Source organism: Homo sapiens, chromosome 8 (assembly GCF_000001405.40).
Source record: "Homo sapiens chromosome 8, GRCh38.p14 Primary Assembly".
NCBI lineage: Eukaryota > Metazoa > Chordata > Mammalia > Primates > Hominidae > Homo > Homo sapiens.
The window spans coordinates 144307229-144329093 of NC_000008.11; the positions used below are offsets into that span (position 1 = coordinate 144307229).

General features: G+C 63.6%; 3 protein-coding genes and 1 non-coding gene across 17 annotated transcripts in view, besides 7 other annotated features; 1 reads left to right on the plus strand and 3 right to left on the minus strand.

Moving 5' to 3' along the window:
* The window catches only part of HSF1 (heat shock transcription factor 1), a 23117-nt gene extending 15625 nt beyond the window's left edge, over positions 1 to 7492 (plus strand). For 2 of the 10 annotated variants that reach the window (NM_005526.4, XM_047421741.1), the window contains exons 2-13: positions 1678 to 1786; positions 2227 to 2363; positions 2544 to 2668; positions 3946 to 4021; positions 4093 to 4154; positions 4277 to 4373; positions 4472 to 4608; positions 4735 to 5016; positions 6283 to 6388; positions 6618 to 6683; positions 6757 to 6826; positions 6897 to 7492. In NM_005526.4, coding sequence (NP_005517.1) covers positions 1678 to 1786; positions 2227 to 2363; positions 2544 to 2668; positions 3946 to 4021; positions 4093 to 4154; positions 4277 to 4373; positions 4472 to 4608; positions 4735 to 5016; positions 6283 to 6388; positions 6618 to 6683; positions 6757 to 6826; positions 6897 to 7102 — 1473 coding nt within the window. In that variant the 3' untranslated portion in view covers positions 7103 to 7492. Of the gene's footprint in view, positions 1 to 359; positions 1787 to 2226; positions 2364 to 2543; positions 2669 to 3945; positions 4022 to 4092; positions 4155 to 4276; positions 4374 to 4471; positions 4650 to 4734; positions 5017 to 5399; positions 5484 to 6282; positions 6389 to 6617; positions 6684 to 6756; positions 6827 to 6896 lie in introns of those variants that run through there. The other 8 variants (XM_005272315.4, XM_005272316.4, XM_017013377.3 and 5 more) reach the window with 8 other exon arrangements.
* Positions 5557 to 6088: an enhancer, noted in NCBI's record as "H3K4me1 hESC enhancer chr8:145536471-145537002 (GRCh37/hg19 assembly coordinates)". NCBI's record gives its function as "activates a minimal SCP1, AML or CMV promoter by ChIP-STARR-seq in naive H9 embryonic stem cells {active_cell/tissue: H9 hESC(naive)}" and the evidence as "EXISTENCE:reporter gene assay evidence [ECO:0000049][PMID:30033119]".
* On the minus strand, positions 7356 to 8342 carry LOC124902050 (uncharacterized; the record flags this gene model as incomplete). The annotated part of the gene is made up of 2 exons (XM_047422537.1): positions 7356 to 7592; positions 7698 to 8342. A coding segment is annotated over one exon (621 nt), but the record flags the coding sequence as incomplete, so codon positions are not given.
* Positions 7356 to 19624, minus strand: DGAT1 (diacylglycerol O-acyltransferase 1). Of its 5 annotated transcripts, XM_047422389.1 has the most exons (18): positions 16938 to 17000; positions 16733 to 16745; positions 14093 to 14180; positions 11800 to 11840; positions 11607 to 11692; positions 11471 to 11523; positions 11233 to 11338; positions 11033 to 11134; positions 10867 to 10941; positions 10686 to 10789; positions 10556 to 10594; positions 10443 to 10484; positions 10316 to 10360; positions 10105 to 10217; positions 9959 to 10024; positions 9794 to 9881; positions 9625 to 9687; positions 7356 to 9481 (listed from the first exon to the last, which is right to left on the minus strand). In XM_047422389.1, exons 3-18 carry the CDS (start codon positions 14096 to 14098, stop codon positions 9326 to 9328), a joined length of 1185 nt encoding a protein of 394 aa, XP_047278345.1. In that variant the 5' UTR covers positions 14099 to 14180; positions 16733 to 16745; positions 16938 to 17000; the 3' UTR covers positions 7356 to 9325. The 5 variants fall into 5 exon arrangements, with proteins under 5 accessions (XP_047278345.1, NP_036211.2, XP_047278343.1 ...); NM_012079.6 differs by lacking the exons at positions 16733 to 16745; positions 16938 to 17000 and adding an exon at positions 19209 to 19624; XM_047422387.1 differs by lacking the exons at positions 16733 to 16745; positions 16938 to 17000 and adding an exon at positions 18070 to 18153.
* Positions 9126 to 9185: an enhancer, noted in NCBI's record as "active region_28092". NCBI's record gives its function as "activates an Ori minimal core promoter by ATAC-STARR-seq in GM12878 lymphoblastoid cells {active_cell/tissue: GM12878}" and the evidence as "EXISTENCE:reporter gene assay evidence [ECO:0000049][PMID:35858748]".
* Positions 10018 to 10087, minus strand: MIR6848 (microRNA 6848). Its single transcript, NR_106907.1, has one exon. It is a non-coding gene; the product is annotated as a microRNA 6848 (primary transcript).
* Positions 10036 to 10285: an enhancer, noted in NCBI's record as "active region_28093". NCBI's record gives its function as "activates an Ori minimal core promoter by ATAC-STARR-seq in GM12878 lymphoblastoid cells {active_cell/tissue: GM12878}" and the evidence as "EXISTENCE:reporter gene assay evidence [ECO:0000049][PMID:35858748]".
* Positions 12702 to 13544: an enhancer, noted in NCBI's record as "H3K4me1 hESC enhancer chr8:145543593-145544435 (GRCh37/hg19 assembly coordinates)". NCBI's record gives its function as "activates a minimal SCP1, AML or CMV promoter by ChIP-STARR-seq in naive H9 embryonic stem cells {active_cell/tissue: H9 hESC(naive)}" and the evidence as "EXISTENCE:reporter gene assay evidence [ECO:0000049][PMID:30033119]".
* Positions 16700 to 16759: an enhancer, noted in NCBI's record as "active region_28094". NCBI's record gives its function as "activates an Ori minimal core promoter by ATAC-STARR-seq in GM12878 lymphoblastoid cells {active_cell/tissue: GM12878}" and the evidence as "EXISTENCE:reporter gene assay evidence [ECO:0000049][PMID:35858748]".
* Positions 19251 to 19320: a silencer, noted in NCBI's record as "silent region_19672". NCBI's record gives its function as "represses an Ori minimal core promoter by ATAC-STARR-seq in GM12878 lymphoblastoid cells {active_cell/tissue: GM12878}" and the evidence as "EXISTENCE:reporter gene assay evidence [ECO:0000049][PMID:35858748]".
* Positions 19331 to 20050: a silencer, noted in NCBI's record as "silent region_19673". NCBI's record gives its function as "represses an Ori minimal core promoter by ATAC-STARR-seq in GM12878 lymphoblastoid cells {active_cell/tissue: GM12878}" and the evidence as "EXISTENCE:reporter gene assay evidence [ECO:0000049][PMID:35858748]".

Sequence of the window (21865 nt, forward strand, 5' to 3'; positions counted from 1 at the left end):
CAAACAGCTTTTTTATTCAGGAGAGCTTCAAGTCAAATCAGAGACAGCCTTGGGAGTGGACTCTTAGGTCAGATGCTGACAGTCCTCTGGGAATGGGGCCCTGGAGGAGCTCAAGCCCTGGCCCACCCCGCAGCGGCTGCCAGGACGCTGTTCCCACGGGGACTGCAGCTGTTGGTTTTTAAGGCTGCAGATGGAGTGGGAATAGGGCATGTAAAATGCCACAAAGCCTGGCTGGGCACAGAGGCTCACGCCTGTAATCCCAGCACTGCAGGAGGCCAAGGTGGGCGGATTGATTGAGGTCAGGAATTCGAGACCAGTCTGGGCAACATGGTGAAACCCCATCTCTCCTAAAAATACAGAAATGAGCCGGGCGTGGTGGCGCCTATAGTCAGCTACTCGGGAGGCTGAGGCAGGAGAATCACTTGAACTCGGGAGGCTGAGGCACGAGAATCGCTTGAACTGGGAGGCTGAGGCACGAGAATCGCTTGAACTGGGATGCAGAGGCTGCAGTGAGCCATGTTGGTGCTGGTGCACTCCAGCCTGAGCAAGACCTTGTCTCAGAAAAAAAAAAAGTTCACAAAGCCCACTGTTCTTACTAAGATTCAGCTGTTTTTCTTGAATAAATGCTCCCCGTGCTACTGTAATTCTTTGGTTAACTTTCAGAGTTCTGGAAAGTTGGCTTGGCGCTTTTCGCCGTCTCTCTCCTGCTGCCTTGGGGTCCTTTCCGTGACCGTTTCCCTCCCTGACACGTGTACATCCCTGTGTATTTCACATCTCTCTATGCTGGAAAGAGGTTCTCCACTTCTAGTGCCACACCACGGGGGTCTTTCTGGCTTTTTCCCTGTTTGCATCTGCAGCTCCCTTCCCTGGCAGGGAGAAACCTGCCCCACTGCCCTTCACCAGTTTCTTCACTGAGTCAGCCGCCCCTTCCTATGCAGACACCCCTCACCCCTCTCTGGCCCTGCTTCAGGCCCCCCTTCCCCGCCGTGTGGGCTTCTCGCTGTCCCCTAAGCCTTCGATGTCCCCTCTGAGCCACCGCGGCCACGGCCAACAGGGATGCCTCCCTCACCAGCGCCTCCTGATAGCTCTGGGCCTGAGCTCGGTAGAGAAATGGAAGAGGAAGGTATATGCAGTGTTTGACTGTCTCTGTTTCTTGTCTCACGTCACAAAACAAGACTGAATTTGGATTTCTGAACGCGACTGTGTTTTCCTCGGGAGTAATGAAATTAGGGCTCCATTTCCTTCGCTGTTCCCAAGGGAAAGGTCCTGCTTAAACAGGTGCTTTGTGAGTGGAAACGTGGCCAGAGTGCGGCGGGTGCTTTGTGAGTGGAAATGTGGCCAGAGTGCGGCGGATGCTTTGTGAGTGGAAACGTGGCCTTCTCTGGAAGCCCTGGGGAGGGGCTTTCCGACTGAGAGGAAGGCCTCGCATCTGCCCACCGCCCAGTCCTGGGCCTCACAGTGAGGATGCAGGTCACGCTGCACAGATGAGGCCCGTGTGGCAGGTGGTCCCAGGAACGAACTCGCCTCCCGCCAGCCCCCTGGGCCTCCCATGGCCCCAGCCCCATCAGGTGGAACGTGCACTGCCTGCGTTTCAGAAGGGGCGGCCTGGGGAAGGGGCGGCTTGGGCACGCTGCCCCTCACCACCACGCGTGACCCACCCATGTGTCTCCCTTTCAGAGCGGGAACAGCTTCCACGTGTTCGACCAGGGCCAGTTTGCCAAGGAGGTGCTGCCCAAGTACTTCAAGCACAACAACATGGCCAGCTTCGTGCGGCAGCTCAACATGTGTGAGTGCTGCCTCCAGGCAGCGCAGGGGTGCGGGAGGCAGACCTGCAGATGGCGGGACCCCAGCAGGAGGACCCTGTGATGAAGGACGGGGCGTCCTGTGCTGGCCAAGGGCATGGCGTGGGACCCTGCAAGCCTGGGGGCCGGGGAGCAGCCGCCTCTTCCATGGGGGAGGGTCCTTGTGGGTATGAACCTGGGGTCCCCATGGAAGAACCGTGAAGCCGGAGCTGTACTCCACGTGTGTCGGGCGCAGGGAGCCCTGTGGGGACACAGGGTCTCCCTTAGACCAAGGCCACTCGGCCACCCAGGCATGGGCTCTGAGGGGGCAGGGCAGGGTCTGACCATGGCCAAGCCCCGCAGCAGCCTCCTGGAGCAGTGGCCGCTCTTCAGGGGTTCTGGTCCCGCCCTGAGGCAGAGCTGCCCCCTTCCCTGTTATGTGCAGATGGCTTCCGGAAAGTGGTCCACATCGAGCAGGGCGGCCTGGTCAAGCCAGAGAGAGACGACACGGAGTTCCAGCACCCATGCTTCCTGCGTGGCCAGGAGCAGCTCCTTGAGAACATCAAGAGGAAAGTGACCAGTGTGAGTGCCGGCCCTGCACCCTTGCCCGGTCTCACCTGCCACAGCTCTCCCCGCCCGCCCCTCCCTGAGGGCTCCCACCCCAGCCTGCCCCTTCCTGAGGGACCTGGCTGCAGTGGACGAGCCTGAGCCTGCCAAGCTCCTAGGCTGCTCCAGTGACTCCTGTCCCTCTCGGGAATCCAGGTGTCCACCCTGAAGAGTGAAGACATAAAGATCCGCCAGGACAGCGTCACCAAGCTGCTGACGGACGTGCAGCTGATGAAGGGGAAGCAGGAGTGCATGGACTCCAAGCTCCTGGCCATGAAGCAGTAGGTCCCACACCAGCATTATGGGCCACAGCGGGTCCTGGCGCCCACCAAGAGGCCCCGGGTGCTGTGGGGGCAGGGCCCTGACCGGGGCCAGGTGCTCAGCTCCACCCTCCCGCTCCACGCACATCTACCCTGGGCCTCTGCCCCAGCCCCGCCGCCCGTGGCTGCTGCAACAGCTCTGGGGCCAGCCGTTTTCCATGTGCAGAAGGGGGTTGGGAGGGTCCCCTGCTCTGCACATCCCCAGCGCCCTCTGGGCCATTGGCTTCTGCCTGGCTCCGAGCTTGGCGGGACCCACCAGCCTACTTTTGAGGACAAGCCTTGCACAGCAGACCCGTCCCACCCGCCTCGGGCCTGGGGTCAGACCCACCTCAGGCCCTTCCTGGAACCGCTGTCCCACACTCGCCTGGGCCCATGGAGCTAGCCCCCAGCCCCTCCTCACCGGGACCCTGCGGCTCTGGGGAAACCTTAGCAGGAGCCTAACACACGGTGGCACCTGAGAAACTGAGGCAAGCCCACCTCGGAAGGCCAGCTCAGGTCTCACGTCCACTTTGGGGCTCCAGGCATGCGGGAACCCCAATGCCAGTACGGCTTCCTCGGCTCCGTGCAGCAGGCGCTCTTGACCCCCACGTCATGGAGGAGGCCTTGGCCTCAGACTCTCCTGCATGGGGTCTAGCAGGAGCCACCGGCTTTGTGATTCCTGGAGTCCGGCCACGTGGACCTGGCCTACCAAGAAGACTCACAGGCTTGACAGGGCCCAGCCTCCCAGAGCAGCAGGAGCGCGGTCATGGCCCTGCTCACCTGGCTGGGGACAGCTCTTCCCCACCCCTGAGCCACCTCCAGGCCTGGCGAGGGCCCTGAGCACCTACAGGACATGGGACAGCCAGTGTCGCAGCCTGAAGAACCGTCCTCCCTTAACCTGGCTGCTCAGGCCTTGGAAGGGCGGCCCAAGGGTCTGCTCCTGGCCTGTGTCCAAGGCAGCCCTCCAGGTGTTTGCCAGGATGGATGCCAGGATCCGGGTGCACCTGGCTCGCATGGATCCATCCCCAACACCCTACGTGACACCAGGTGTCCCCGGCAGGGAGGGGCAGTGGGACCAGCAAGCCCTGGCCCTGGCCCCCAGTCCCTCCACACACAAGTTCTCATCCTGGGGTGGGCCAGGCCAGACATGGTCACACTTACCCCTGCTCCTGCATGGGGGACAGGGAGGGTCTGTGGGGCTCCCTCAGCCCTGGGGCTCATGGGATTGGGCCCCACTGACCCAGCCTGGTCTGTTGCAGTGAGAATGAGGCTCTGTGGCGGGAGGTGGCCAGCCTTCGGCAGAAGCATGCCCAGCAACAGAAAGTCGTCAACAAGGTGGGGGCAGGGCCAGAGGGCCGGCGGGGGCCCCACAAGGGCCGGGGTAACTGTGTCCTCTCTCTCCACAGCTCATTCAGTTCCTGATCTCACTGGTGCAGTCAAACCGGATCCTGGGGGTGAAGAGAAAGATGTGAGGTTTTGGGGATGCCTGCATCCACCACCCGGGGCCCAGGGCTGTCCCCCTTCTCTGTCAGCTGTGCCCCGGGTACCCCGAGGTGGGGGGTGGTGGCTGACCTGCACCCTTCCCCACAGCCCCCTGATGCTGAACGACAGTGGCTCAGCACATTCCATGCCCAAGTATAGCCGGCAGTTCTCCCTGGAGCACGTCCACGGCTCGGGCCCCTACTCGGTGAGTGCCGGAGACAGGGCACCCGCCCAGGCATGCAGGCGGCAGTGGGGTGGGTTGCCCCTGCCGGCACTGCATGGACCTCCTGCCTTTGATTGCAGGCCCCCTCCCCAGCCTACAGCAGCTCCAGCCTCTACGCCCCTGATGCTGTGGCCAGCTCTGGACCCATCATCTCCGACATCACCGAGCTGGCTCCTGCCAGCCCCATGGCCTCCCCCGGCGGGAGCATAGACGAGAGGTGGGGGCCGCATCACCCCAGCCATCCTGTCCCCCAATGAGGCGAGCCCCTGTGGGCCCAGGGCAGAGTTGGGGATGAGGTGGGGCTGGCCGAGACGCCAGCTCACCTGGCCCCCCTCGTGTGCAGGCCCCTATCCAGCAGCCCCCTGGTGCGTGTCAAGGAGGAGCCCCCCAGCCCGCCTCAGAGCCCCCGGGTAGAGGAGGCGAGTCCCGGGCGCCCATCTTCCGTGGACACCCTCTTGTCCCCGACCGCCCTCATTGACTCCATCCTGCGGGAGAGTGAACCTGCCCCCGCCTCCGTCACAGCCCTCACGGACGCCAGGGGCCACACGGACACCGAGGGCCGGCCTCCCTCCCCCCCGCCCACCTCCACCCCTGAAAAGTGCCTCAGCGTAGCCTGCCTGGACAAGTGAGTGCCGCCCACCCCTGGCCCCACCCACAGCGCCTGGACGCACAGCCCTGGGCTTCAGCCCCGACTGTCCCAGTGGACTGAGCAGGGCAGCTGGCGAGGCAGGACCCTACCCCCAACCTCGGAGCTCGGGGCTGGGGAGGGAGACAGGTGCCAGCCAGATCACCCCACAGTCCCAAACGCCACAGAAGCCACGGGCATGTCCGGACAGGCTGCCGGGCCCTGCTCTCAGCCACCCGTCCTGCTGCCGCCACCCTCGCCACAGGCCACGGGCCCTGGCAGGTCGTGCTGCCCAGACACATGGCAGGAGATGGTGAGCAGGGCCGGCCTCCACACCCCCAGCCCCTGCCTGCAATGGGGGCTCTTGTTTTTGTATCTTGCAGTTTGGCTCGCACTCCACAGATGTCTAGGGTCGCCCGCCTCTTCCCCTGCCCCTCTTCCTCTCCGCATGGCCAAGTCCAGCCAGGGTTAGCGCTGACCCCACTGGGGAGGGAGGAGGGCTCTGCCAGCGCTCGGGCCCTCCCACACAGCCGTGGACCAGACCCAGCCTGGCCGGGCATGAGCGTCGGGCCTGGGCGGCAGCAGCCGAGACCCCTCTGTGGCGGGGGCTCAGTGTCGTCATGGCTCCCCTGGCCACGGGCCTGTGGTCATTGCCTGTGACAGGGATGACAGGGACAGGCCTCCCTGCTCTGGCACGGCCTCTGGTGTTGGCAGGATCCAGACTGCGGTGCTGACTGCACTTCCTGTCAGGCAGGGTCTCCAGGGCACCTCTGGGACCCAGCCTGGCTGTCCGTCCCATAGCCCAGGTGTGCCCTGTGGCCTAGGGCTTTCTTGGTCACAGCCACCAGACCGTGGGTCTCATCCCCACAGCAGCACCAGGGCAGGGACTGAGCCACCCACACACTGAGCAGAGCCCCACCTGTTTTCCCAGTGCAACGGGAAACCTCACCAACCCTGAACACTGAAATCCCTGATCCTTGTGCTGGAGCTGAATACGCCCCTTGTCTCCTGGGTCCACTGCCACCAAGGCCCCCAGGCCCTCATGGCAAAGGGATGCCCAGCATAGGCCCAGCCGCACCCCTGCAGGGCACAGAGCCTCCACTGCCTTCCAGGCCGTCCTCGAATGCGCTGCCCCCTCCAGCCTGTGCAGGCGTACACGGGGGTGCAGCCTGGGGGGTACAGTCAAGGGGAGCCCTTCTCCCACAGGAGGGCATTGGGGTGTGGGGCCTGGGGCACTGGTTCAGGTACCGCCTTATCCCGGGCCAGGAATGAGCTCAGTGACCACTTGGATGCTATGGACTCCAACCTGGATAACCTGCAGACCATGCTGAGCAGCCACGGCTTCAGCGTGGACACCAGTGCCCTGCTGGACGTGAGTGGAGCCCCGCCGCCCCGCCTCCCCGCCCCGCCTCCCCGCCGCGCCGCCCCGCCTCCCCGCCCCGCCTCCCCGCCTCCCCGCGCCGCCGCCCCGCCTCCCCGCCCCGCCTCCCCGCGCCTCCCCGCCTCCCCGCCCCGCCTCCCCGCCTCCCCGCCCCGCCTCCCCGCCCCGCCTCCCCGCCCCGCCCCCGGGTGCTGTTCTGACTTCCCTCCCTCCTCCGCAGCTGTTCAGCCCCTCGGTGACCGTGCCCGACATGAGCCTGCCTGACCTTGACAGCAGCCTGGCCAGTGTGCGTAGGCGGGCGGGGGGTGAGGGGGAACGAGACCAGCGGGAGTGCTCACAATACCGTCTCCACCCCACAGATCCAAGAGCTCCTGTCTCCCCAGGAGCCCCCCAGGCCTCCCGAGGCAGAGAACAGCAGCCCGGATTCAGGTGAGCCAAGTCCCACCGGCCCCACCTCTGCCCCCAACCCCCCACCGCCTTGACACCCCCACCCCCGCAGGGAAGCAGCTGGTGCACTACACAGCGCAGCCGCTGTTCCTGCTGGACCCCGGCTCCGTGGACACCGGGAGCAACGACCTGCCGGTGCTGTTTGAGCTGGGAGAGGGCTCCTACTTCTCCGAAGGGGACGGCTTCGCCGAGGACCCCACCATCTCCCTGCTGACAGGCTCGGAGCCTCCCAAAGCCAAGGACCCCACTGTCTCCTAGAGGCCCCGGAGGAGCTGGGCCAGCCGCCCACCCCCACCCCCAGTGCAGGGCTGGTCTTGGGGAGGCAGGGCAGCCTCGCGGTCTTGGGCACTGGTGGGTCGGCCGCCATAGCCCCAGTAGGACAAACGGGCTCGGGTCTGGGCAGCACCTCTGGTCAGGAGGGTCACCCTGGCCTGCCAGTCTGCCTTCCCCCAACCCCGTGTCCTGTGGTTTGGTTGGGGCTTCACAGCCACACCTGGACTGACCCTGCAGGTTGTTCATAGTCAGAATTGTATTTTGGATTTTTACACAACTGTCCCGTTCCCCGCTCCACAGAGATACACAGATATATACACACAGTGGATGGACGGACAAGACAGGCAGAGATCTATAAACAGACAGGCTCTATGCTATGGCCTCCATGTGTTTCCTCTGTCCCAGGGTGGTGCGGTGGGTGGTGCTGCAATGAGGAGGGGCCCAGGGCACAGAAGGGCCGGGCTGCAGTGGCCTCCTGGGGGAAGACGGATGCTTGCAGCTAGCTCCGTGCCTGCCCGACTCCCCAGGACCAGCATGTGCTTGCAGTTCTTTATTGAGGGACCAGGGGTGGGCGCCTCACCTTGGCCCTGGGGGTCTCTGGTTGTCACAGGACCACCAGGAACCCCCTTCCCAAGGTGTTCGCACTCGGACAGGTGATGCGGGGCGGGCACACTGTCTTTCTGCCAGAGCCAGCACCCTGTGTAGGCACGGGGAACGGGAGCCTGTCCCGTAGCTTTAGGGTTCTCCACTCAGCCTGGTGGAGGAAGGGAAGGGGGCCTGCGCTGGGCAGTGGAGCAGGCTTTGCTGCTTTATCTGGCAGCAACAGTTTGTTCTCGAGCTCCACTGGCCAACTGATAGGGAGAGGCACAGGAGCCCATGTGGGATGGAGGAGTCGGCCCCACACCCATCCCCCCACCAGGAGCTCACCCACTACTGCCATCCTCAGCAGGGCCCAAGGAGATGCCTCCATCTCAGGGCCCACCAGCCCCCACTGGGGTAGAGGGAGGATACCACCAAGGGAGCCCACCCTCCCCTCACACCACCAGTTCAGCAGGTTGCTGATGAGGCCCCTGGTGCAGTCCTGGGACCCTGTGCAGGGCCTCCTCAAACACCTGCCTTGTTGGGCCATAGCTGCAGGTCTGGGGACACCAGGGCCTGGTCCAGTCTTGGGGTCTTTAATCAAGCAGTCACCCCAGCAAGGTAAGGCAGCAGCAGGGCCCTGGGGTTACCCCTGACCTCCCGCTACCATCAAGGGGGGCCCCATCTATCCAGCTTGGTGGATTGCAGGGCCTGGGAACAAGGTGTCCTGAAGGCTGCAGGGCTGCGCTGTCTGCACTGCCCAGCCTGGTGCCAGAAGAGCAGAGGGCAAGGCAGGCCTGGGGATCAGGGGTGCCCCAACCTCGTGGAGGGCAGCTGAGAGCCACCAGCCCACCTGGCTGCCCAGGTTCCAAGTGAAGGAAAGAGGCTGCCAAACCGAGCCCTGCCCCAAGGCGAATAGCCATGGACATAGCCATTGTGTACCGTAGCCCCTCGGCTCACCAGACCCACACCAGAAAGGCCCTGTGGACTGCCCATCCCTGGGCCATCCTGGCTGGAGCCCACTTCCCGCAAACCCAGGGCCGACCTCTTCCCAAGCTGAAGCTGAGCACGGTGGGTGCAAGTTGACCATCCTGCACTGAGGGCCAGAGTGCCGATTCCCGCACACCCAGCAGGAGTAGCACCAGGAGAGGACGCCTGAGCTGAGCTTTTCTAGGTAGGGGAGTGTGGGGAATGGGGGCGTCTGCCTGGCCTTGCACTCCCCCTACCGGCCATGCCCGCCCTGCTGCAGTGGAGCTGCTGCTCCCCGGCAGGTCCTGGGACAGCTGTCCACACAGCTCTGGCACTCGCCCTTGTGGGTGTGGCCATACCCCCCACCAGGCCCCAGGCCCCTGGCAGGCTGAAGAGGTCACTGGACAGCACTTTATTGACACCCTCGGACCCGGGGCAGGGTCAGCAAGACTCCCAGCTGGCATCAGACTGTGTCTGGCCTGCTGTCGCCATCCCTGAGGGGTGCAGGACAGAGCCCCATAGGGGCAGAGAGGCCTCCCTGGGACCAGAGGAGGATGCTGTGCAGCCAGGCCCATCCCCAGCACTCGAGGCCTAGGAGGAGAGGTGGGCTCTGGCAGCGGGTGTGAGGTGGCAGTGAGAAGCCAGGCCCTCAGGTGCAGCTCAGGCCTCTGCCGCTGGGGCCTCATAGTTGAGCACGTAGTAGTCGTGGACGTACATGAGGACGGCTATTGGCTGTCCGATGATGAGCGACAGCCACACAGCTGCGTTGCCATAGTTGCCCTGGAAAAAGCGGCCCACGAACCAGGCCAGTGGGATCTAGGGAGTGAGGGGCCAAGTCAGTCGGCCATGGTGACCACAGGGCTGGGGGCTTCAGGGTCCCTGGGCATGGGGAGGGTCAGCCGAGGGGTTCAGGTGCGGGGTAACTGGGCGAGTGAGGAGGCCACGTGGGGGTCACTCACCTGAGCCATCATGCCCGTGAACGCCCAGAGGCGGAACATTCGCAGAGGGACGCTCACCAGGTACTGAGATGGGAGGGAGAGAGGATGCCAGGGAGTGGGGTGTCAGCCGTCCCTGCTGTGGGCATACCCCTGCCCAGGGATGAGGCAAGATGCCCCCCAGAGCACTGACCTCGTGGAAGAAGGCCGAGGCCAGGAACACCCCTGTCCTGGCCATCCACTTGCTGCTGCCCCGTCGAAGCATGGGCTTGTAGAAGTGTCTGCAGAGGAGGGGGCATGGAAAGCGGTTCAGGTTCACAGCCATGTTCCACATCACACACACACACACCCCACCTACCTGATGCACCACTTGTGCACAGGGATGTTCCAGTTCTGCCAGAAGTAGGTGACAGACTCGGAGTTCCTGGGGGCCAAGAGACCACAGGGGGATCAGAGCACACCATGGCCCATCCCAGCCCCCAGGGACACCCCAGGGACACTCACCACCAGTCCCGGTAGAACTCCCGGTCTCCAAACTGCATGAGCTCAGCCACGGCATTCAGGCAGGAGTGGAAGAGCCAGTAGAAGAAGATGAGCCAGATGAGGTGATTGGGGACCTGGCAGGGAGGTGGGGGTGGGCACCAAGTTCTAGAACCTTCCCCCACATGCCACTGTCCCCTCCTGTCCTGTGCATGCGCCACCTGTCCGCACTCACCGCCAGCTTCAGGAGGCGCTCGATGATGCGTGAGTAGTCCATGTCCTGCAGAAACAAGCCCTTCAGCTAGCCATGCTCCTGGTCACTCCCCAGCCACCCCAGCTGCAAGAGCACCTGAGCCACTCACCTTGAAGGGCTTCATGGAGTTCTGGATGGTGGGGACCATCCACTGCAAAGGAGGGCACCACGTCAGCTCCCAGCCATGCCCAGCTACACCCAACCCTGCCCTACCCCACTTACCTGCTGGATCAGCCCCACCTGGAGCTGGGTGAAGAACAGCTGGGGGGGAAACAGAGAGCAGCCAGCTGAGGCCCTGGCTAGCCAGAAGGCCCCCTAGCCTCCAGTGGCTGCCCCCAGCCCCCAACCTCACCATCTCAAGGATCCGTCGCAGCAGAAAGCGCTTCCGGATGCGGGGAGAGCGGGGAAAGTTGAGCTCGTAGCACAAGGTGGGGGCGAAGAGGAAGTAGTAGAGATCTGGAATGGGAATGGGGGGTTGGTACCAGAACAGGCCCAGCCTGTCCCCCGCACCTCAGGCCCACAGAGGTCCTCACCGCGGTAGGTCAGATTGTCCGGGTAGCTCACGGTGTGCGGGGCAGCAGCACTGCTGGCCTTCTTCCCTGCAGAGGCTACGAGCACAGCAGAGTGGGAGGGGGCTGGTGGGGCCCTGCTGCTGCCCAGCCCCCCAGCAGGCAGCCCCAGCCCCTGGCAGCCCCTCACCAGCCTTGGCCCTGGCCCTGCGGCACCATGAGTTGACGTCGCGGTAGGAGAAGAGCTTGAGGAAGAGGATGGTGTGCGCCATCAGCGCCAGCAGGGAGCCCACTGCAGGAGAGGTGGACTCAGGCCTCCACAGCGCCACAGCCGGAGGCCATGCCCGTGGCTGGCCCGAGACAGATGGGCAGGGTGGGATGGGGGCGCACCTGGAGTGATAGACTCAACCAGTAAGACCACAGCCGCTGGGAAACACAGAATGGTGGCCAGGTTGGCCACGTGCAGCAGCAGTCCCGCCTGCTCCGTCAGGGCACCCTGGAGTGGGGAGCAGAGCACTCAACCAGGGCTCCCATTGCCTGGGAGAGGGCTGCCAGGCCTGGGGAGCAGCTCCTCCCAGGAGCGCACACAGCAGGGTGAGCACACACGGAGGTGAGGGGCACTGCTTACCACCGCCAGGCGCTTCTCAACCTGGAATGCAGCCACAGCAAAGACATTGGCCGCTGTGGACAGAAGCACCAAGGGGCAGGTTTAGGGCCACGTCAGCCTGATCCCCACCCGAGGCCCTCCTCAGAGCCCAGCTCACCAATAACCAGGCATGGGGCGGGCCAGCTATAGGGATCCTTCAGGAACAGAGAAACCACCTGGATGGGGTCCACCAGGATGCCATACCTGGGGGTGGAGGGATGGGGGTCTGAGTGGGTGGCAGGTGGGGCTGTGGGGCGGGGCCTGGACAGGCCATGGGTGGGGCAGGGGTGGGACCTGGCAAAGGCACTCACTTGATGAGGTTCTCCAGAAATAACCGGGCATTGCTCAAGATCTGCGAGGGATGGACAGGAGGGTGCAGCCCCTTTAGTCCTGGCCACAGGGTACTCACCCCAGATCCTCCCAACACCTCTGGGCACGTCCCAGCCCGAGCTCAGGGCGGCAGCCTCAGGCTTGCAGACCCAGCCCTGTCTGGTCTCCATGCCAAGCTCTGAGACTCAGCACCCACCTCAGCCAACACCAGTGCTGGGTAAGGGGAAGTCCCTCCCTGTCCCCATCACACCAGACGGTCCCACATGGAGGGAACCAACCGGCCAGACCAACCAACCCTGCCAGACGCCTGGGTCTTCAGGAGCAGAAAGACCAGCTGCTGATCTGCTCACATCCCTCCTGCTGAGCCGAGCCAGTGAGGGACCCAAGGCTCCCACAGCCAACCACACCCCAGAGACAGCCCCAGAATACAGGCCTGCCCAGGGAGGCCTGCCCACGGCTGAGCCCCAAGGAACCAGTCCCTACTGGTGGCCAAGGCTGAAGAGGGGGAGTTGTCTACTCTTTCTCTGCAGGAGCAGTGTCCAGCTGTGTCGCAAGGGGGGCTGGGCCTGGAGTGCTTCCCAGGGCTTGTGCCCCGCCTGCCTCTTCTGCTTCCTGCCGCCCTCTAAGCCTTGGACACTTGGCTCCAAAGCAACTTCCCAGGACTGAGCCCCCATGGAATAAGGCTCTTGGGACGAGCCTGGAGTTGGGTGCTTGGCCTCCCTCTGCAAGGACAGGAACCTCCTCCTCCATCTTACAAGCACTACCAACACCTCCATTAAGCTGGGCCCCAATGCCGCAGACCTGGCTGACCACCCGGAGCTCGGGCCTCATGCGGTAGTGAACTGGTGCTGGGGAAAAGGGTCGCTGGCAAGGGAACACTGAGGGTGTCTTGCCTGGGTGGTCAGGGAAGGCTTCATGAGAGAGAAGACTGCTTCAGAGACACAAGGGCTACTGCCCCGCCTCCCCCGGCCGCAGGGCTGACACACAGGCCTTCTGCATGGACACGTGGCCCACACTGTCACTGGCCTCTCCCGAGGGCTGACAGCAGGCAGAAGCCAAAGCTGCCAATGGACGGTACCCACCTCCAGGCCCAGGCCACAGAAGGAATGCAACAAGCAGCCCAGAGCGGGATACATGCCTGGGGTGGGGGCATGGGGGAGCCAAAGCAGGGAAAAGGCTTCAGGGCTGGGCCAAAGGGCCAGGCAGGCCCAAGGGGTTGGGGAGAATACACAGTGCTGCCTGGGCTGGACAAGGCCCAACCTGGGCCAGGAATGGGCTGCGTCTCCTGAGTGCTGGGCTGGCGCTGGGCCCACTGTCCTCCTGCCTGGCCAGCTTCTCAGCCACCAGGACTCGTGGGCCTCCACAGCTGGCCACCCCCAGGGAACCTTCTAGGACCATGGGCGGTGGGGGATGTGGATGTGCGTGGAGCCCCTTCCACGTGGGTAGCCACAGGAGCAGCACCCAAGGCCAGAGATAGACACGCCTGGGTGAAGGTCAAAGGCCTCGAGCCACATCAGCCCTGAGTTGGGGAGGCTGGGCCCAGATAGCCCTTGTCCCCGACCTGCCCTGCAGGTGCCCCTTTGAGCCCTAGACTCCAACTACTTCTGGGGTGGGGCTGGCAGCCCCACCCCACGAAGTGCCAGTGGGAACCAGGCCCAGAGGTAGCAGGCCTTGGACGTGGCACAGGGCTCCATCTAATCACCTTCCTGGGGGGCTCCTAGGACCCACAGCTGAGGGAAGGGGCCAGGAGGACTGCAGAGTGGTGGCCAGGCCTGCAGGGCTCCATACCCACAGAGGCCATGTGGCGTAGCACAGGAAGCTCTTCTCACATCCCCTGCCAGAGAGGCCTTGTGTCCACAGAGCATGCAGTCCACTCTCCCACCAGCCCAGGGCAAGACCCCCTCCACCCTGCCCTCCCTGGAGGCCCTGCACCCCTCAGGCCCAGCTCACAACACACAGGCTCCAGCCAGGCACTGTTCGGCCTCCCCACGCCCACACCACATCTGCAGGGCTCTCCTGGGATCCAATGGGAAGCAGCAAGTATGTGGTGCATGGGCACCCAAGTGACCACAGCAGGGGCAGCCACTGCCACTCCCCTCCCCAACAGTCCAGTGCTGGCAGCCACATGGAGGTGCAGCCTGCTCCACACACCCCAGCCCACAGGGGCTCCAGCCTGGACACCCTGGGTGACAGAGCCTGTTCTCAGGCAAAGGCCAGCCTGGGACAGAGCCCCACCTGGACCTAGACCCGCTCCCGACACCATGTCCCACTCACCAGCATCACCACACACCAGTTCAGGATGCCACGGTAGTTGCTGAAGCCACTGTCAGAGCTGAATAAAGAATCCTGCAGGCGATGGCACCTGACAGAGCACAACACAAGCACCCCCTGAGTGGGCACCAGCAGGGCAGCGCCACCCCCGCAGGATCCAGGCCCCCACCCCAGTGTCCTCGTCTGCCCTCAGGCCCCACTCCTTATTTACAACCAGGAGGAGAAGCCAGGCAGAGCCACACTGTGGCCTCAAGACCTACAGTGGGCAAAGCTCTCCGGACCCCCAGAGCCTGCACCTCCAGGCAGCGGGACGAGCATGTCAGGGTCAGAAGCAAGCCCAGCTGGCCCTGCCCGGACTGGACCTACATGGAGCTTGGACACTCCAGGCCTCACTCTCCAGAGGCCTCTGGCCACTGCCATGTACTCTGGCTGTGGACTAGCACTGGGGCCACAAGCAGGGTCCAACCTGGGGATGGACCAGGGGGCACTGCCCAGCACTGTGGGGACCAAGTGGTGAGGGTTGAGTCCACCCTATTCAGTTGGCCCATCCCAGCACCCGGGAGCTAAGGGGTCCCCACACTTGGACGTGCAGGCTCAAACTGGCAAAGGCAGGCCAGGCGCCAGCCACACACCAGCCTGACATGCACTTTCCCAGAGGCAGGGATCCAGCCCTCGTGTGCCGGTGTAGCCTCCACTTGTTTGTGATGTGTGCCCAGGCTGAGGGGGCTGAAAGGAACCCACCCGGGGCTAGGTGCCTGCTGGCTGAGAGGCTTCCAACAGAGGCAGGCACCCACCCATGATCTCCCAACCAGCGCTGGAGGGGCACAGGCAGACCCTGCCTGGTCCTCAGCATACTGCACAGGTGGAAGAGGGCACCCAGCCCAATAGAGGGACTGCCATATAGCTAGGACAAGGACAGCAAGAGCTTGGCCAGGCCCCCACACGTCCTAGGAAGCAGTGCTGGCTCATATACACTAGCTGCAGGCCCGCCTCACCCCCCATCTGCCGTGCCACTGGGACACCACACACAGCATTGAGCAAGTCCTCAACTTTGTAAGAGGAGAGGCCAGAGCCTCCCTTTCCCTCCCGCACACGCACATCTGCCCCTCAGAGCCCCTAGGCAGGGAGAGTGGGCCTGAGAGCCATGGCAGGAGCCCCATGAGGCAGACGCCCTCAGGGCACCCAAGGCAAGCTGGCTAGGATTGGGGTCGGCAGTCAGACGGCCCTGCCCAGGAGGCAAAGGGCCAGGGAGGCCGAGAGGCAATGCCAACAAGCCCAACCTTTGCTCCCCAAGACCAAGGTTGGTGCAACACATGCCCCATCTACACCTACACAGTTCCTGGACAAGTCTACACTAGTCCCCAAGACCCCCAGGCAGGGAGGATGCTCACACCTTTCCCTCTGCCCATCTAGACTGGAACACAGGGGCAGGCAGCTCCACCCAGCCCCTGCCTCTCCCAGCTCCAGCCTGAGCGCCCTGCATCCACCCACCAGGTCCATCCTGGGCCATGCAGTGAGGCTGTGGTCTCCACCAGAGCCTCCCTCCTCCCCAAGTTGGCAGCTGTCTTCCCAACTGACCACCGCCCTTGGCTCATCTCCCCAGCCTACTCCACTCACTGCCTGCCCACAACCAGGAGGCTGGGTGTAGACACCGCCAGAGCCCCAGCACCGTGACGGGAGCAGGGGCACGAGGCCCAACTGCCCAGCAGCCTCTCTGGGCTGTCTGTCTGGGGGCCTCTCCACTGCCCCCTCTTCCCCAAGTTCGAGCCCATTTGTTTTCAGCAGAACAATCCCAAGCCTCAGGGTTGGCCTTCTTGTACCACGACCTACCAACCACAGCTGTTTCACAGCAGTATGACCCCTGCCCCCTTTGAGCCACCAAGGACACCATGCTGGCTTTATCCATGCCCATCTCCAAGATGAAAACAGGAGTCGGGAAAGGGTGGTGCTTCCCAAAGCTCACTGCAGACAATCCTACACAAGCTTTCTCAGGGGCCCCTTGACAGGCTTCCAAGGCCTTCCTCAACCCAGCCACAGCCTCACCTCAGGCCCTTCACAGGCCTGACCAGCCCCACCCAGAGGCAGCACCCCCACTGCGCTACCCCTACCCCTCACAGGCCCCCATGAGGAGGAAGCCCCAGTCCACCAGTGCCCACAGAGCTCCAAGCAGTCAGTGCGGCCAGCAGCATGTGGGCTACAGGGCAGGCTGCATGGAACGGCATGGGGAGGTGGGATCTGCCCCTGTGCCTAGAGCACCTTTATCACCCTCTCACTGACTGGAGGATCTGCCCAAGCCTCTGCACCTTCCAGCTGTCCCTACACCCACTCCCTAGTCCAAGAAGACTCGGAGCAGCCTGCCCTCCCTCCTGCAGCCCCCAGGCCCACCCAGCCAGCAGGATCCTCTCAGTCTCACGGCAACACTGAGACCTTGGCACATGCCCACCCGCCACCCTGTCTCCAGGTTCAAAGTGTGCCCAAAGGCACAGGTCCCAGTGAGTCCCACACTTGGGGCCCACACAGTGCAGCTCCAGGGCCAAGCACAATGAGGAGGGGGCAGAGTCCAGCTCTGCTCACTGCCGCCTCCTCCACTCTGGCCTCTGGGCTGGGCCTGGGTTCAAGATGGTTGGGGCAGGCTCCCTGCACCTCGCAGACCCTGCTGGAGAGAGAAAGGGAGAGTCAGAAAGGACACCTCAGGGACAAAACACCCTGGGAGAAGCCAGAAACCGGATGGCCCCGACTGGGGTGCCTGTGAGCAGAGGGCTGGTGGGTGTGTGCAAAGAGCCTGGCAGGAGTGAGCCACAAGCAGAGCAGAAAGGGGTGCCCTCTCCTGCCTGCCTCACAGCCTCACCTTGCCACGGGGCCGGAAGAAAGGAGCTCACACCCAGAGCCCAGCCCTAGGTGAGCAGGAAGTGTCCGTGAGGGGAGGAGGCCCGAGCTCAAGGAGTAATGAGGAAGCGGGAGAGGAAAGGCTGGGCTGGGCCAAGAGCAGCAGGAAGCTGGAGGGAGGGGAGGCTGTGAGGCTGACAAGGGGGTGCGCTAGAGGCCAAGTCCCAGGAGGGCAGGCAGAGCAAGGCCTGACGCAGACAGCAGGGAGAAGAGCCCAGTGTCCACAGCCAGTGGCCGAGCCCTGCTGCATCCCTAGGTCTGAGGGACAAGCACACATAGCCTGCAAGTCCTGGAGACCCAGGAGCAGATAGACTTTTGGTCTCAGCCTCCAGCCCCATGAAGGCCTCACCTCTCCATCTACTGCCCCTCTTCCCAAGGAGACCCGACCTCCACGGCAGGGACAGGGACTCACCAGGCCTCTCCCACGAGCTCTGCACCCATCCCACACCAGCAGAAGTACAGGAAAGCCTTGCTGGTTTGCAAAGCAAGAAGGTGACTGCTCTCCCCTGCCTACCCCCAGGTGGCGGCTTGGCCCAAAGCTGGGACTACCCTCATCTCACACTAAAAAAAATCTCAATTCCCGGCCGGGCGCGGTGGCTCACACCTGTAATCCCAGCACTTTGGGAGGCCAAGGCAGGTGGATCACCTGAGTTCAGGAGTTCGAGACCAGCCTGACCAACATGGAGAAACCCCATCTCTACTAAAAATACAAAATTAGCCGGGTGTGGTGGGCGCCTCTAATCCCAGCTACTCTGGAGGCTGAGGCAGGAGAATCACTTGAACCTGGGAGGCAGAGGTTGCAGTGAGCCAAGAATGTGCCATTTTACTCCAGCCTGGGCAACAAGAGCAAAACTAGTCTCAAAAAAAAAGAAAAGAAAAAAAAAGAAATCTCAATTCCCACGTCCTCCACAGGTCATGTAGCCATCCCCCTGCCTCCTGGAGAGAGGGTAACTCCAGGAGCCACACCTCCTTTTCAGGTAGGAGGTGCCTAGGCCAGCCTCCCTCACCAGCACCCCAGGCCCACAGCAGGCAAGCACCCCTCTCAGGAGGGCCACCCTCCTCCCCACGGCCCCTTCAAGGCCTCCGTGCCCGACCTTTGTCCATGTTGCTCCATGCCTGACTCTCGCTGAGGTTATCTTATCTCCCAGATGAACTGAGCACCCTGAGGGCCACGACAGTGCCTGCCCTCCCCCAACCCCCTCCCCATGGTGCCCCGTGAAGGAAAGCTCTGTTCTTGCTCACTGAGAGAGCAAATCATTGCCAACTACATGTCCAAAATCAGCCCACTTCTGCCTTGATAACCTCTAGGCCCTCAGCTGCTCTCTAAAACAAAGCCCTGAGGGCCCCTGGGCCAGGGTAAAGGCCATAAAGGGGGGATGGAGGGTGGCAAGGGGATTGCTCAAGGCCAGCTTGGTGGAGGAAGCCAATGCCCAGGCTGGCCAAGTCCTTCCCATCGGCCATGGTTCTCTCCCTCCACCCCTCTCTGTCAGTCATCCAGCTGAGCAGGGCACACGCCTGCAGGTGTGTCCACCACCCCCATACCCCACTCCCCACCTGGAGGATGGAAGTCCCAACACAGAACCCAACTCTCTGTCCCTACAACAGACGCTGGCTCTGGCAACATCGGCAGGGCTCCAGGCCAGCCTAACCACTGGAGCAATGAATGGGCCACGCAGCCACTCTCAGAAGGGTCTGCAAGGACAAGAACGCCTCTAACACTGCCCCTTGTCCGGGGCAGCTGCTGATTCCCCTGTCCTCGGACAGGCCTGGGCTCCTCTGGCCCCCTCCCTGGCAGGCCAGCCCTCCTCTGGGAGCCTTTCCTACCCGCAAGGCACCGCTCATAGCACCAAGAAGGAACCTATCACCACAAACTGCCCAGATCTTATCTGACTCCTTCCATATAAGGGGACACTGTCCAGGGCCGGGCCCCCACCAGCCCGCCCCTCGAAAAGCTCCTCAGGAGCCCCTGAGGATGCACAGACCCAAGAGGATCTGGATGCGGGACACCTGCCGGCTCCCCTCTGCCTGGCCAAGGCCAGCTCCAGAGCCCCTACCCAGTGACCTTGTCAGGTGACTCTCCCCAAGCCTCAGTTTCCCCACAGGGCCCATAGGGCACACCGATCCCCGCTTAGCCCAGGGCCCATGTTCTCGGACTCGGAGCTCGCGCTTCGGCCAACCCCGGAAAGTCGCGGGGCCCTTGGGTCAGAGGTTAGGGGGTCAGGCGCTCCGCTACCTCAGCTCCCAGTGGCCGCTGCCCACGCCGGCGTCTCCGTCCTTGTTGGGGGCCGGGGCTGGCGCGTCCCCCGCGGCTCCCACGTCGGGGCCCGCAGCGGCGTCCCGCACCTCCTCTTCCGCCGCCGCAGGCCCGCCGCCGCCGTGGCTCGAGGGCCGCGACCCTGTCCTCCGGCGCCGGGAGCTGCCGCGGTCGCCCATGGCCTCAGCCCGCACCCGGCCGCAGCCAAGCGTGGGCCCGCCGGGTTCGTAGCGCCCGAGGCGCGCGGCCCCACCTCCGGGCCCTAGACAACGGCCGCCACTGCCCCCTGCCGGCCGCCGTAGCCCGGGTGACCGCCTCACCAGCGCGTTCAACCCGCCCGCGTCGGGCCCGTCGGCCTCAAGGACAACGGCTGCGTTGCTCCGGAGCCGCTAACTAATGGACGGCCGCCTCTCTCGTCCATTTGTAGTCCGCGGCCGACCTGAGGCGGGGCCTGGAGAGGCTGACGGGGCGCAGGGCACCCTGGGAGTCGTAGTCGCCGCGGGCGCGCCGGCGCAGAGCACCCTGGGAGTCGTAGTCGCCGCGGCCGCACCGGCGCAGAGCACCCTGGGAGCCGTGGCAGCTCCCAGGGCCGGGGCTGCGGGCCGCAAGTGCGCGCAGCGGGAACGGACCTTGCATCGCTCCCGCGTGGTCCCGGGGTCCTGTCCGGCCCCACGGAGCGGGATGGTCCGCTGAGGGGTGCGCTGGGCCCCGACTTCCTGGCCGCTGTGCGCCCGCCCCTCGTCCCACTTGTGTACACACGGGGTCTCGGCGAGTCACTCCGGGCAATCATTTAGGAAGCGCCTAGTGCGCCACGGTCCAGCTGTCCGGGCCGGTGTCCGCGGCGGCTCGCGTCGCCCGCCACCCAGCGCGTTGGTTTCTGCGCACGCAGCTTACAGTAACGTCCCTGGCGCGCTTCTGCTCCGCGAGCCCTCTGGTTACCCCGGCAGGAACCTGCTTTTCTTCGCCTTAGGGGGACGTCAGACAAGGGCCAGGTCAGAAGACCAAGCTGGAGAAATGCACCAGGCCCTGCGTCACCGGGACGCCTGCCTTGCACGCGACTCCCAGGCTCTCCACCTCCCCGCCTGCAGAGCCCGGCGAGAGGAGGGCGAGGGCGAGGGCGAGGGCGCAGGCCCCTTGGTGGTGTCTTCTCAGCCCACCCACTCTCTCCACAAGGAGCTCCACGTCCCTCAACTCTCAGGGCCTCCCAGTTTCCAACGTGGGCCAGCCTCTCCAGGATGTCAGAAGTCTGGGCCGCTGGATCGCCGGGACTCAAGAGGCTTCTGTGCATTTGCACGGCCTGTGCAACCGCCCTGTTGTTTTTTGTTTTCTTTTTTCTTTTTTTGAGACAGTCTCACTCTGTCGCCAGGCTGGAGTGCAGTAGCGCGATCTCGTCTCACTGCAACCTCCACCTCCTGGGTTCAAGCGATTCTCCTGCCTCAGCCTCCCGAGTAGCCAGGACTACAGGCGCGTGCCACCACGCCCAGCTAATTTTTCTGTTTTTAGTAGAGACGGGCTTTCACCATATTGGCCAGGCTGGTCTCGATCTCCTGACCTCGTGATCCGCCCACCTCGGCCTCCCAAAGTGCTGGGATTATAGGCGCAAGCCACCGCGCCTGGCCTGTTGTTATTTTTTCTAAAGATGGGGGTCTCGCTATTCTGCCCAGGCTGGTCTCGAACTCCTGGCCTCACGCAATCCTCCCACCTCGGCCTCTGAAGGTGCTGGGATTACAGGTATGAGCCACTGCCCCAGACATCTTGTATGTTAAATGAAGCAACTAATCAACTGTAACAGCCACAGTTGCGGCCCACCTTGGCTTGGTGTGCATATTGCACAGGGCATGGAGTGAGAACATCCTGGATCTCAGGATGCCAGGGTTCACTGAGGACTCTGACTCTAGAAACACCTTCATTCCTCTGGGGTGAGCAGGGGCAAGCAGCACTTCTCTGGAAGCAAACAGGTGCTCCTCCTGAGGTGGGGTCCTCTCCCGTGGGCTGGTCACAGCCTCGCCTCTGAGCTCCGTCCTCTTCCACCACCTCCACCAACAGTGGCCAGCAGGGCTGCCCCCTTGGTTGCCCCCCTGGTGACATATTCTTGTCACCACAGGCCGCTGTGGGTTGCTGCCAACCAGGTATCAGGCAGGCTGGAGCTACCTGGCAGATGCCCTTTGTGTAGCCTGCCGAGTGGGGCCGCCCTCACTGGACCCAAGAGCCCCTCACACATGGGCCTTGGTCGGTCAGGACCAGCCCCATCTCCTACCCAGTCTCTCAGAATATTCATTTGTTGAATGCAGTCGCTGGCAGACACACTCTGTGGCCAGGTAGGCCCAGACCTGTCTGAGTATGGACTGACAGCAAGCTCAGAGAGGTCTGGACCTGGCCACGGAGCACCTCATGCTAGGCAGAGGAGATCAACGACTCAACCTGTGGTCGCGTCCCAACTCAAAGCCGGCAAGTGGCCACAGGAGAAAGACAATGGGAGGGTGGACTGGACCACCAGGGAGGATGGGTCGGGCCTGGTGAGCAGAGCCAGGCTTGGAGCCAATGGGGAAAGCACTGGCTGTGGGCGGGCCATTAAGGAAGGGCTTTGCCACCGGGGGTGGGGGCGTGGCGGGGCAGCAGCTCCAGAGGTGGGTGAA